The 13,815-nt window shown below is 45.1% G+C and overlaps 3 annotated features.

The window, feature by feature from the left end:
- Window positions 7,182-7,697: an enhancer, noted in NCBI's record as "H3K27ac-H3K4me1 hESC enhancer chr2:238034737-238035252 (GRCh37/hg19 assembly coordinates)". NCBI's record gives its function as "activates a minimal SCP1, AML or CMV promoter by ChIP-STARR-seq in naive H9 embryonic stem cells {active_cell/tissue: H9 hESC(naive)}" and the evidence as "EXISTENCE:reporter gene assay evidence [ECO:0000049][PMID:30033119]".
- Window positions 7,698-8,212: an enhancer, noted in NCBI's record as "H3K27ac-H3K4me1 hESC enhancer chr2:238035253-238035767 (GRCh37/hg19 assembly coordinates)". NCBI's record gives its function as "activates a minimal SCP1, AML or CMV promoter by ChIP-STARR-seq in primed H9 embryonic stem cells {active_cell/tissue: H9 hESC(primed)}" and the evidence as "EXISTENCE:reporter gene assay evidence [ECO:0000049][PMID:30033119]".
- Window positions 9,190-9,749: an enhancer, noted in NCBI's record as "H3K27ac-H3K4me1 hESC enhancer chr2:238036745-238037304 (GRCh37/hg19 assembly coordinates)". NCBI's record gives its function as "activates a minimal SCP1, AML or CMV promoter by ChIP-STARR-seq in naive H9 embryonic stem cells {active_cell/tissue: H9 hESC(naive)}" and the evidence as "EXISTENCE:reporter gene assay evidence [ECO:0000049][PMID:30033119]".

Here is a 13,815-nt window from a genome sequence, read left to right on the forward strand (position 1 = left end):
GCTGTGTTTGAAAACCCTCTTGAGTTGAGATGTGTAAAGCATGTGCTTAGCCAGAGCCAAACATCTGCTTGATTCTCACTCCTCGCTGTCACCCGGTGTCTTGTTGTTTACAATGTGCTGCCATAACTCACTTGGTGTGTAGGGTCATTCCTACCACTTCATTCCTTGAATGTCCGATCACCATCACTGCTGGCTGAAACGCAGTCCCTTCAAAGGCTTAAATAAGTCTTTTCTAAGGGCCGAAGAAGTGCTCTTGAGTTATTAGATATTTTTGAAAAAAAGGTTTTCTTCATGTTCTTGCTTTTTAAATAGTTTGTTTGGCCCTTGAGTCGTCAGTTCTTTTGTCATATGAGTGGAATGGATAAGTTTACTAAGACTTGGCAAGGAAGAAAATCTATGGGGAATTAGAGGCTGAATTCCTAATAATTAAGAACAATTTTTAACGTTTATTTTAAGTTGAGGGGTACATGTACAGGTTTGTTACATAGGTAGGCTTGTGTCATGTGGGTTTCTTATACAGATTATTTCATCACCCAGGTATTAAGCGCAGTACCCATTAGTTATTTTGTGAGGATGAAGAGAACAAAAATTATTTAAAAGACCCAGCCAAGGCGTTATTTTAGGGGCTTGTCACACACTTGTCACTCACCAGTTTAAATGATCAAATCCACATGTATGCTAAATTTAAGCAAAAATTAAAATATACAAAACCTAACAAAATTATCCTGGACATCGACTAAGAATAAAAGCCGGTCACCTGCAGTGTTGGCATAAGGGAATGGCTAGGGGGTGAGCAGTGCCATGGCCCCTCTGCTTGGAGAAGTGCAGTGGCTTTAGCTGCAAGCTCCAGCCCTGGTCCAGCCTGTTAATATCATCAGAGACCGTTAGGTTGGCCCTGCACATTCAAACCATGTGGCCCTGCCTTTGACTGCCGCATAGAATGTGAGAGCACCCAGCTCTCATCAGAAAATTAACCCCAAACACTCTGTATCCAGGTTTTATGAAAGGTTCAGTTGTGAAAAATATTCTCAAAGTGTGCTTCCTGGACCACAAGTTGGGCATCGCCTGGAAGCCCCAGTCCAGACACACTGAATCAAATCTGCATTTAACAAGACCCCAGTGATTCTTGAGCACCCTGATGCTTGGGGCAGCAGCTCTGAGGATTTACAGTCTCTCCATTTCAGCCCTCACTGTGCACTTGCTTGGGGCCTGTGCCTCTGGGGCGACAGTATGAGAAGGAGGCAGAGAAAACGACTCGTGTATTCTACTGAAATATGGAAAGGGCTGTGCCCTGTATCACCAAGTAATGTTTTAAGTGAGAAATTGCTCTCTGATATGGGTGTCAAGAGAGGGCCTTGTGGATACTGTGTATCTTACAATTGGTTACTTCCATCATTTTGCCTTGGCTTGTAGAGAGCTCAAACTGAATACAGAGCCCAGCAGCTGTTCACAGGCACGTGGCATTCATTTTCCTTCTTGTTCAACTTGCCAGCTCCCCTTTCCCTCTACTTACTGCCCACACACCCAGCTCTTGTACTTAATTCTCTTTCTCCTGAATGTTTTTTGGTAACTACCTTCCATATTTTTTGTAAAGCAAGTGGGGAAATATATTAATATATTAATGCCATTAATGAAAACTAATGGTCATCTCTGATGGTGATGATGGTGATGTGTCCTCAAGTGATAAAAGAAGCTTTTGTGAGATTTCTCAAAGAACCACATGCTAAATTGCTCAGCCCCAGCCTTTGGCCTTCACGTCCACCCTGACAGCAGCTGCTGGGAGTCAGGTGTGGATATGCCAGGTGCACCAGTAGGTTGTGGTCATTAGTCCTTTCGTCATCAGAAGGGGAAGAGAGACTCCAACTCGGAGAGCTGGTGATTTTTTGCCTGTGTATGTATTGCTTGAATTAAGTTCTTTATTTTAGTTTAGTACACTGCTGTGTTCTCAATATATGTGACTTCATCCTCGCAAAACTATGGGGCTGGGTGTCTCCATTTTGTAAATGGCGGAAGTGAGGTGTTTGCTTGCCTAGGTTCCCGCAGTGGCATGGTGGATGCATCAAGGCAAAGCCAGTGACCTTAGTGGTCTTAGTTCTCTCACCGACTGACACAGAGGAAAGAAATCAGAGAGCTTCCTTGAGCCTGAGGCCATGGATAATAATGATCACTTAGACATGAAGTTTCAGAAAGAAAACAGAGACATCTTGAAATCCTTAGTGTCAAACGTTCAGATGAAAGGAGCATATTAAATGCCTCAAGAATCCCATTCACTGGGCCCAGTAATTTTTCTCTTAGTCATCTTTCTAAAGAAGTAATCTAGGATGTGACAAAACATTTTGGGAACAGGAATAATCATTACTGTGCTACTTAAAAAATTAAAATAACATTTGTAAAGGAGGCAAAACTCAATGGCTTACAACAAAAAGCTGTATTCTCATGCTCATGGGTGAGCACAAGAGCCACGGCTTGGCTGATGGGGCAGGATATGGATGGCTCAACTTCAGCCTAACCTTCAGGGGGACTTGACTCTGAGCTCTATTCTGGGTTCAGTTTTGCTCCACAGCTGTCTGGCCACATTCTTCTCCCAGTGGATCAGCCATGCACTGGAGGGCAAGCTAAACCTCACAGCCCTGTGCCAATCCTCCCCTCACAAGACTGCTGACATCCCATGCTCTGTGTAAGCACAGGAACAAGGGAAAAACCCACAGGGCAGGGAAGTAGACTCCACTCATAATGGGAGACAGGGGCAAGTATATATTTGATGAGTGATCATAGAAATAACAACTGTGATCTAGATTTGCTTTGCATTGGCACACATTGTTCTTCAGTGGAGTACCATGGAAGGGGCTTATTGGTACAACAGCATGGCACACAATTTTGAAATCAGGCAGCCCTGACTTTGAGTTCTTGCTCTGCTATTAATATTGACTAGCTGTGCTCATATATATGTTCCTTAACTGCCACTAAGTCATAGTTTCCTCAATTGCTAAATTGGGTTGTTGTGAGGATTAAATGAGAAAACAATGTGGAGCTCTTAGCAAAGTGATGGGTTCTTAGGAAGCAGCCAATAAGTAATCATAACAGTTAATATTAGTGGTAGCTATTGGAAAGGTATTTGAGATTCAGGGATGAATGAAAATCACTGTAAATCTAGAACCCTACCCTTATCTAAACTATCAATCTCTTTTTATTGAACAGTTTCAAATTTATTTTTGATAAACAATTTTAATATAGTCAAACATTTATTAGAAGCAGAAAAGTCATTGTAGAGCACTTGAATTATATTTAAAAGTTTAGCGGTCTAAACTAGCAATCTAAGATGATTGTGAAATAAAGGCATTTAAAATCCTCCTACTTGCTTATCGGAACTACCATACCAGTCAGGATAAGCTAAGCCACGCTGCGCTAACAAATGGCCTGCAGATCTTGGTGCTTTACACTACTAGCAAATGTTTCTTTTACGCTTCTGCTGCCTGTCCACTGGGGGTCAGCAGAGGCCGTCTTCTCTGTCAGCATCACTCTAGGATGCCGGCCACCCAGCAGCCTCTCTGTGCCACTCAGCAGAGGGAGAAGAGACCTGGGGAGCCACGTGCTGGCTCTTGTTGCTTCTCTTTGGAAGTGACACCGTCACTTTCACATATGTTTCATCAGCCAGAGAAAGTCAGCTATGGCTGGCTCAATAGAGCCAGTAAGTCTAATCCTCCTGAAGCAGAAGCTCTGCAGAGAGAGGAGCCAAATATACTGAACATAATACAGTAGACAAGAGAATGTGTGTGACTCTGAAACCATTAAGGGAGTAAAAGGAAAAAAGAAGGAAACAAAAAATGTGGAAAAAGAAACATGGCCATTAGAAATCACAACTTAAGGAAGTATCAAGTAATCAAAGCTAATGGCCGCTCAATAAATATAAAGAAACTAAACTCACAAAACAGACTCTCATATTGGATGATAAAACAAAATTCAAATATATATACACTTTACAACAGAAACACATAACATGAAATGACAAGAAAATTTGAACACTGAAAGAAGAAATGTTTACATCCCAGATCAAGAATCAACAAAAAGGAAGTGTTACTGTATTACCAATTAAAATAAGCAACCAGATTTTTCCCAAGAAAATACACACTTCACCTATATTCTCAAAATTGTTGGCAAAAAGTTAATCATAGTTGTGGTAGGCAGAAAAATGATCCCTAAAAGGATGCTGACACCATAATCCCCAGCAAAGAAGCCCACGACATTAGGACTAAATAAAAATGTTAACCAGGAAGACATGAGAATTTAAAATGTGCATTATTATACAGTATGTTATCAAATAAATGAAGGAAAAAACTCACAGAATTACAAAGAGGCACTGACAAATACACAATCATAGTTGAAATACTTGTCTCACATTGATCTAAAGTCAACCTTTTGTGGTGTTAATTCCCCCAGCATCTCTGGACTGTACAGATGTGGGGCCGAGTAAGTCCAAAGGCCTCTTCTGCCTCAGGAGCAACAGGGAAGCCAGGGCAGGTCTGGGCAGTATGAACAGAACATAAGGAAGGTTCCGTGAAGTTGGTCCAAGTTCCTGCAGATAATCCATCTTGGCGGCAAGGACAGATGAGACCAGGAGAATCTGAAATGGGTACAAGAACTGTGTAAATCATGAACGCGCACAGAGAAACAGCAAACTGGGGACAAAGAGAGGGACCCCTGCCAACAGGGACTCTGAGATCTGTGTCTGAGTCCAGTCCCTGAAATCTCTGACCTTGGAACCTATGGTTAACTGAACAGTGGCCCACCAAGATGTCCCCATCCTAATCCTGGAACCTATAACTATGAGACCTTACATGGCAAAACAGACTTTACAGATGTGATTAAGTTAAGGATCTGCCATGGCCTGAATGTGCCCCCTCAACAGTCATATGTTGAAGCTTAATCACCAATGTGGCAACATTAACAGATGGGGTCTTTAGGAGGTGATTAAGTCATGGAGCAGAGCCCCTCATGAATGGGTCTGTGCCCTTACAAAAGTGCCTTTCCATCTCTTCTGCCACTTGAGGACACAGTGTTCGTCCCTCTTTCCCTTCCACCATCTGCCAAGTGAGAATACAGAAGCAAGATGCCATCTTAGAAGCAAAGAGGAAGTTCTTACCAGACACTGAATCTGCCAGCACCTTGATCTTGGACTTCCCAGTCTTCAAAACTGTGAGAAATACATTTCTATTATTTATAAATTACCTAGTTTGTGGCATTTTGTTACAGCAGCACAAATGGACTAGGATAGGGTCTTAAAAAAAGGAAGACCCTGGGCTATCCACATGGGTCATCTGCATAATCACAGAGTTCTTTATGAGAGGTGGCAGGAGGAGATAGAGAGAAATGAGAATGCCACGTGATGATGGGAGCGGAGTAGAGGTCAGAGCAATGCACTTTGAAGACAGAAAAGGGGCCATGGGCCAAGGAATGCAGGCATCCTCTCGAAACCATGCTAGATAAAGAAGCTGATTCTCCGCTGAAGCCTCCAGAAGGAAATGTCCCTGCTGACACCTTGACTTTAGCCCAGTGAGACTCATTTTTGAATTCTGCCCTTTAGAACTTTAAGCAAATAAATGTGATATTGTCAAGCTACTGCATTTGTAGTAGCTGTTACAGCAGCACTGGAAGCTCATGCAGATCCCTTTCTTTGATTCTGGGAGCTACATCTGTGCCCCTCCTTCTTACTTAATAGCAAGTCCGTTCGTTTTTTCTGTGTGTTGTTTGCATTGGAGAGAAGGGAGAAGTCCTGAACTATAATCAGTCTGTACTCTGTAAAGTGACAGAGGCAATGTCCGATGTCTCAGAGCTGCCGCTGAGGGCAGGGCTGCACCACAGGCTGCCCAGGGAGCCAGTGCAGAAAAAGGGCAGCCCTTTGGTTGCCTCCTCTGCATCTCATGGTCTTGCTTCCACTCATGCAGGTGACCCTCACTGGTACATCTGAGAGAAAATGCACTCCCAGGAGCAGCTACTGCTCTTGTGAAGAATATTCCTGGAGGAGTCCACACGGGTGGAGTGGATCTTGGAGGGATGGGCCCAACGCAGCCTCCCTCAGTGTGCGGGGATGACATGAGTGGGGGCTCTTCTTCCTCTGGAGAGGGTTTCGGGGCGAGAAAGATGAGCAGGGACTGAACTAGTTTCTGGTCTTCAGGTTCCAAAATAAACCTCTGAGATAAACCATTCGGGGTCATTGCTGCAGGTTTGTTCCTGAGAATGCGGGGACATTCAGAGTGGGAAAAGTTGGCTTTCTGGTGTGGGGACATCAGGTCCTCTGACTCCCACTGTGTGTATGACAGACCTAAAAATCAATGTGCATGTGTTTATAAAATGATGCAGAAAAATTACAGTGTCTTCTAGTCTCTGAAGCATGGCTTCTAACAGCCTTGGCTGGTTTATACTTCAACTTCCAAAACCATCTTTGGGAACCCAAGTCTTTATGGTTTTAGAAAAACAGCCTCAGACACCCGATGACTCCTCGCATGATTTTCCATCCATACTCCCCCAGAGCCCTGATTCCCCAACCAGTTCCAGACGTCTGAAAAGAGACAGGCATGCTTTGATGGCGCACTTCTCCAGTTGAATTTGTTCTTTGGTGTTTAACTTAGAGTAGGAAGAAAGATATCTAGAAAGGAAACCCATTGTTTTCAATGTCTTTAAAGCAAAAGAATCACTATCTGAACTGTCTTGCCTGTCATCATCTTAATCTTAATTGCCCTTCCATCTCTACGCATTTTGTATATAACAGATCACTCTTGCCGCCAGAGCTACCTTGAACTGCTCTAACTAAGCCAGCCTGCTGTAAGCACAGCACCCCTGACAGAGGTCTCCCAGTGGTGTCTGGAGCATCACCTGCTACCCTGCTGTCCTGACATGAAACCATGCTCCTCTGTGAAGCTGTGCTCTCTCAGTGACATTGGTCCTGCCGTCACCCTGGCCTTGGCAGATACATTGATCTACCTCATCTCCTGTTTCCCAAATCCAACATAGTACAGCAGAAACCAGTCTACATATTTTAATACAATTTTGTTGAGAGTTCAGGGATAATGGTAGAAAAATACATCCCAGAGTTTACCTTACACTGATGTAAGGGACCTTTTCTCCAGATCCTTTCAAAGGCCATCTGGCTACCTACAAACATTTCACAAGGTCTCAGATGTTCAACCTGAGACAGCGGCTGGGCCAGGGGAGCTCTGCCCAGCTCCGTGCTATTGTTTTTCAGGCGCTCCCCACCCACGGTCCAAAGGTCTTGGGTCCAGCGCCACAGAGCTGCTCTGCCCCTTCAGAGACCAATGCATGCATAGAAAACCAAAGAACATTTCCTCCAAGCTCCTGCCTCGTTCCTGGACTTTCAGGAAACCCAGAGCTCTGGAGAGCACATTTAGAAAGCTACTGGCTATTTACATGAAGCTATATTCTCCCTCCAAAGGTACACTGGGTTTGCTTTCATATCTTCAGCCAAAACAGCACATTTGGTGAGCATCTTCTCTTTTGCTAAGAGGCCCATGAGCAACTTTTCTGCCTGCTGAGGAGACTTGCAGGCTGTTCTGTGTCTTCTGCTTTGGGCAGCTGCTTGCCCTGGCTGTGGAAGGCTCCTGGAGTCCCCTGGCTGCTGACCTGACAGGACCAGCCACACGCCCCTTACATTTGCTCGTACCAAGGCTCAGCAGCCAGGCTGAGAGGCTGTTCTAGCCGTTTCTTGGCCCTGTCTCCACAGACCCTCACCAGGGGCTGGCAGAGTCCCTGGGCTTGCCCCATGCACATTGGCAAGGCTGAAGGCTCGGACAGGAGATATCCTTTCAGAGTCACTGACGGTTACGTGCCAGCCACGCACCCTCCGACCTCTCCTGTGCTGTAACCCCAGCACCCTTGTCTGTGTGTCTTCTCAGAGGACAGGAAAGAAGGGAGGTGCCTGCTTGGAATGAGAGCATAGACTTTTTCCATCTAAGTAAAAGTGCTGGGATGCTAGATCCACAGGTCTGTTTATGGGCATAGAAATGCTTTACAAACAGAGCTGGTGTGTTGAATCAGTTGTTCAGGGAATCTGTGCTCCTTTTCCTATCTCCAGGGGTCTGCGTGTTATGGAATTTGGCTAACACCAACCTGAATATGATCTGCCTAAATCACAGCCCGGCTCCTGCTACAGCGCTTTCCTTTCTTTCTCTCTGTAACTCGGATGTGCAAACATTGGTAAGAGAAACCAGAACTCAGGGACAATGAGAGCAAATGGCTGTGCGTAGATGCCAGCATTTGTCACCCCTAAGGCGAGGGTCCTCTTTCTCCTTGTGCTCCTGTCTGCCAGGGGAGCAAAAGTTTTATTGGAGAAACTAATCATTGAATTAACTTCAAAATACATTCAGAACCTTTGGCATTTACAAATCCATCCTGTAATTAAAAACACAAATAACTGAAGGTTTTTCCATTGTTCAAAAGTATTGGTTAATTGAATTATTTTGTTGTCATTTTTTGTGTCTAGTTTGGTCTAGACAAATATTGGGAGGGGCACTAAGTACTTCATCTGTTTTCTAACTTCATAATAGAATTGAAGAACCATTGCGTATGTGAATTTTGACACTCCACATATCCTTAATGTCAATCCCTGAAAAGAAATTTGCTGCACTTGGGAAAATTGAAAATTAAAAATGCCCAAGTCTCAAAATGGATTTCTTCAGCATTACAAGAAAAAAAGATAGAACTGGTGTTTTTGTTTAATTGGCTAAATTTTTCTAGCACAGAAAAAGATTTGTTTCTTTCAAGTTTGGAGTGCAAGCCTTGAGCCACTCTGGTGTCATCCAAATTCTAAATGTGCTCATACTCAAATAAATCAAGACCTACGTACATATACGTGTGCACACATCTGTGTATGGAAGCACTGACTGCATGGCAGAAATCATGGATCAAATCTTCTTTCCCTCCCCTGTCTTCTTTCTCTCCCTACAGCGTCTTTTCTTCCTGTTGTACCCTTGCTGTCTGTGCACTAAAGCACAACCCGAAGCCGCACCTTCTCTGGGACAGCAGCCCCCTCAGCAGGCCTGGTGCAGGTGTGAATCAGCATTGGGGGCTGCTGAAGCCCACCTGAAAGCCTGGTGGCCTCAGCTTCACTTTTAGGGCAGATAAAGGGTTTGTGTTGGCACCAGGCTTGAACCAGCTTCTTGTTTTCTTTGGGGCCAGGACCCTAGTCTAGTGCAGCTTCACACTCCTGTGTAAGTGGCAGCCCCTCTCCAGTCCTGGATGTAGGAGGCCCCATCGGGACCCTGAGGGCTGCGACATGGGCCCTGTATGCCCAAGGCCCACGCACAACATGGGGACACCAGCTCCCCACGGACGCTCCTTGCACGCCCTCCCTGCATTCCCCTCTCTACATCACTAGTAGAGAGGGCCCTGCTTTCTTTCCACCCCTTTCCCCTGCATGCCCCCTGCTGCCTAAGAAAGCCCCTGGAAGAAACCCAGCTTCTTGAAGTGGTTAAATAAACAGGAGGCTGTGATTCATTCAGCATGGGGTGGCGGGAGGGGGAGGGACCTTGCCAGATCCGTCATGTGGTGCCTCTTCCTTGTGAGCCTCTGAGTCACAGGGCAGCAGGGGTGGCGTCCTCAGGGATGAAAGCTGAGGAGGCTGTAAGCGAGTGAGTGCATGTGAGTCTGTGAGTGTGCGTGTGATGTGTGTGTGTGAGTGCATGTGAGTCTGAGTGTGATGTGTGTGAGCAAGTATGAGTGCATGAGTCTGTGTGATTTGTGTGAACAAATGTGTGAGTGTATGTATGTGTGGGTGTAAGCAAGTTTGTGAGCACGTGTGTGATGAGTGTGAGTGCATGAGTGTGTGACATTTGTGAGTGTAAGCAAATTTTTGAGTGCATGTGAGTCTCTGAGCAAGTGTGTGAGTGCGTGTGTGTGATATTTGTGAGAGTGAGCGTGAGGGTGCGTGTGAGGTGAGTGTGAATATATGTGAGCTGTGTGTGATAAGTGTGAGTGCATGTGAGTGTGCATGGCATGTGTGAACAAATGTGTGAGTATATGTGAATCTGAGTGGGTGTGATTGTGTGTAAGCGAATGTGAGTGCATGTGAGTCTGAGTGTGCATGTGGTGTGTGAGGAAGTTTGTGAATGCATGTGTGTGATGCATGTGTGTGAGTGCATGAGTATGTGACTGTGCAGGTGATGTGTGAGCATGAGTGCATGTGTCTGTGCATGTGATGAGTGTGTGAGTGCATGTGTCTGAGTGTGCATGTGATGCATGTGAGTGCATGGGAGTCTGTGTGTGTGATTTTTGTGAGTGTAAGCAAATTTGTGAGTGCATGTGTCTGTGTGATGTGTGAGCGAGAGCATGTGTGAATGCATGTGGCTTGTACGTGTAAGCAAGCATGAGTACGAGTCTGAGTGTGCATATGATGTGTGTAAGCAAGTTTTTGAGTGCATGTGTCTGTGTGATGTGACCGAGTGTGAGTGCGAGTCTGTGTGATGTGTGTAAGCGCATGAGTCTGCATGTGATGTGCAAGTGTGAGTGCATGTGAGTCCGAGTGTGTGTGATGTGAGTGTAAGCAAGTTTCTCAGTGCATGTGTCTGAGTGTGCATGTGATGTGAGGGTAAGCGAGTGTGAGTGCATGAGTCTGAGTGTGTGTGATGTGTTTGGGTGTGACTGAGTGCATGCATGTCTGAATGTGCATGTGATGTCTGAGTGCGTTTCTGAGTGTGCAAGTAATCTATGTGTGTGAGTGCATGTGATGTGTGTGTGAGTGCATGTGAGTCTGAGGGTGTGTGTGAGTGTAAACAAGTGAGTATGTGCATCTGAGTGTGCATGTGATATGTGTGAGCAAGCATGTGAGTGCATGTGAGTCTGTCAATGTGATCTGTGTGTGTGAGTACATGTGGGTCTGTGATGTGTGTGAGCTAGCGAGTGCATGTGTCTGAGTGTGGGTGTGATGTATAAGTAAGTTTGTGAGCACATGTGAGTCAGTGTGTGTGATGTGTATGAGTGGGTGAGTGCATGTCAGTGTGCATGTGATGTGTGTGTATAACTGAGTGCATGTGCATCTGAGTGTGTGTGTGTGTGCATGTGATATATGTAAGCGAGTGTGAGTGCATGTGGGTGTGCATGTGATGTGTCTGTGAGTGCATGAGTCTGTGGTGTGTGAGTGTAAGCGACAGTGAGTGCATGTGTCTGTGCATGCAGTGTGTGTGTGAGTGCATGAGTCTGTATGTGCATGTGATGTGTGTGTGAGTGCATGCCTGCGTGTGATGTGTTTTAGTGAGTGTGTGAGTGCATGTGAGTCTGTGCATGTAATGTGCATGAGTAATTCTGTGACTGCACATGAGTCTGTGACTGCATGTGATATGTGTGAGCAAGTGTGAATTGTGTGTGTGGCATGTGTGTAAGTGAGCATGAGTGCACGAGTCTGCAGGTGATGTGAGTGTAAGCACGTTTGAGTACATGAGTCAGTGTGCATGTGATGTGTGTGAGCAAGTGCATGTGAGTCTCAGTGTGTTTGATGTAAGCAAATGTTTCAGTGTGTGTGTGAGCAAGTGTGTGCATGCATGAGTGTTCGTGTATATGTGATGTGTATGTAAGTGACTGCATGTACGTCTGAGTGTGCATGTGTTGTGTGAGTTTAAATGAGTGCATGTGAGTCTGAGTGTGATGTTTGTAAGTGTAAGCAAGTTTCTGAGTGCATGTTCGTGAACGTGAGTGGTTTGTGAATGTAAGCAAGTGTATGAGTGCATGAGTGAATGTGCATGTGATGTGTCAGTGATTGTGAATGCATGAGTCTGTGAGTGTGCATGTGATATGTGAGTGTAATTGTGTGAGCACGTGTGTGCCTGTGATTTGTGTGAATGAGTGTGTGTGCACGTGAGTCTGCATGTGCCTGTGATGTGCAAGTGTGTGGGAGCCCATGTGAGTCTGAGTGTGCATGTGATGTGCAAGTGTCAGTGAGTGCCTGTGAGTCTGAGTGTGCATGCAATGTTTGTGTGTAAGCTAGTTTGTGAGTGCATGTGAGTCTGTGTGCATGTGATGTGTTTGTGTGAGTTCCTGAGTGTGCATGTGATGTTTGTAAGTGTAAGCAAGTGTGTGAAGACACGAGTCTGAGTGTGCATGTGATGTGTGTGGGCCAGTGTGAGTGCATGTGAGTCTGAGTGTGCATATGATGTGAGTGTAATTGTGTGCATGTGTGTTTGAGTGTGCATGTGATATGTGAACAAGTGAGTGAATGTGAGTCTTTGCATGTGCATGTGATATGCAAGTGTGTGAGTGCATGAGTCTGTGCATATGATGTGCGAATGTCAGTGTGTGCTTGTAAGTCTGTGCATGTGATGTTTGTGTGTGTGAGTGCATGAGTCTAAGTGTGCATGTGATGTGTGAGCGAATGCACGAGTGTGAGTCTGTGAGTGTATGATTCTGAGTGCATGTGATGTGTGTGAATGCATGTCTGTGTGTGATGTGTGCACAAGTATGTGAGTGCATGCAAATGTGTGTGATGTGTGTGAGTGTGAGTGAACATGCTTGTGTGATATGAGTGCATGAAAGTTTGTGAGAGTGATGGGTGTATGTGTACATATGAGTGTGTGTGTGCATATGTGCATTTATGTGTGCAGATATGTATGCATGTATATGGGTGTCAAAGGGTCTGCGTGAGCAAGTGTGCGTGAAAATCAGTGAGAATTTTTGTGTAAGAGCCTACGTACATGAGTGTGAGTATGGGTGCCTGTGTGCACGTGTGAGAGTATGAACAGATGTGTTAGCATGTGTGTGTCTTTGTGAGAGTCTGTGTGTGTGTATGTCTGTGTGCATGTGTACATGTGTGTATGCACACACACATGCTTCCTTCTGTTTCCTCTACCTTCTCCCAAACTGCTTTCTCAGGGAGAGGCTTTGAAACAAGACTGTTTCACCCGGCTCCCAATTTCCATCAGTTCTACAGAATCAGTGGTCACCTTGGCCCTGCTCCCCTCCCCACCCTCAGCCCTGCCTCCTCTGCCAGGCTGGTCCGAGTGGGTTGTGAGACTCCACAAAACCGTCTTTTTTTTCAGGGGACCACACCTACTTGTTTGTCAGGGGTTATTCCTTGTTAATTCCGGAGATGTTTATAAAAGTCTCAAGTTCTATTTTCCAGTTGGGTGAAGCTGTCATTTCTGCCTTGGTCAGGAGGACTAATGATTTCATTGCCTGGGAGGTTATGTGTCTCATCTACCATGGTAAGGCAGAGAGATGGACACACAAAATGAAGAACAGAGGGCAAGAAGAAACCCTACACCCTAAACTAGGAAAAGGTGTTTAGTGAAGGCATTACTGAATGCTTCCAAGTGTTCTGTCATTGAGTCCTCCAAGAAGCCCACTGCTTAGGTATTCTTTTACAGGCGGAGGAAGCTGCCTCCACCCCTGTCCCCACCCCTAGAAGTCAGGAACTCGACCTCACACAGCTGGGGAACAGTGCAGCCAGGATTCTAAACTCCCCCTGTCAGATTCTAGTACATTCTCTTTCCCTAATACCAAGTGGTTTCAAATATATTTAAAGTATTAAGAAAATATATAGCTTTATCTTTTTCATAAATTTTACAGGAAAAACTACCTTTAGCACTAAAGCATGACCCAAAGCTTATCTGGTGAAATAGCCTTGGGCTATGGAAGCAGTTATGGGAAGGTCGATCTGAAATCCTCATTTTGCCTGCCCTCACTGTTGCTCAGCCCCTTATTATAGAACAGATCCAACGAAACTCTGCAATATCATAACTAGAGTTTATTTGTCCAAAGCCTTGTGATCTGTCCACCATTGGGGACAATGTCTTTAAATCAGTGGTTCTCAACTAG

Source organism: Homo sapiens, chromosome 2, assembly GCF_000001405.40.
Source record: "Homo sapiens chromosome 2, GRCh38.p14 Primary Assembly".
Lineage (NCBI taxonomy): Eukaryota > Metazoa > Chordata > Mammalia > Primates > Hominidae > Homo > Homo sapiens.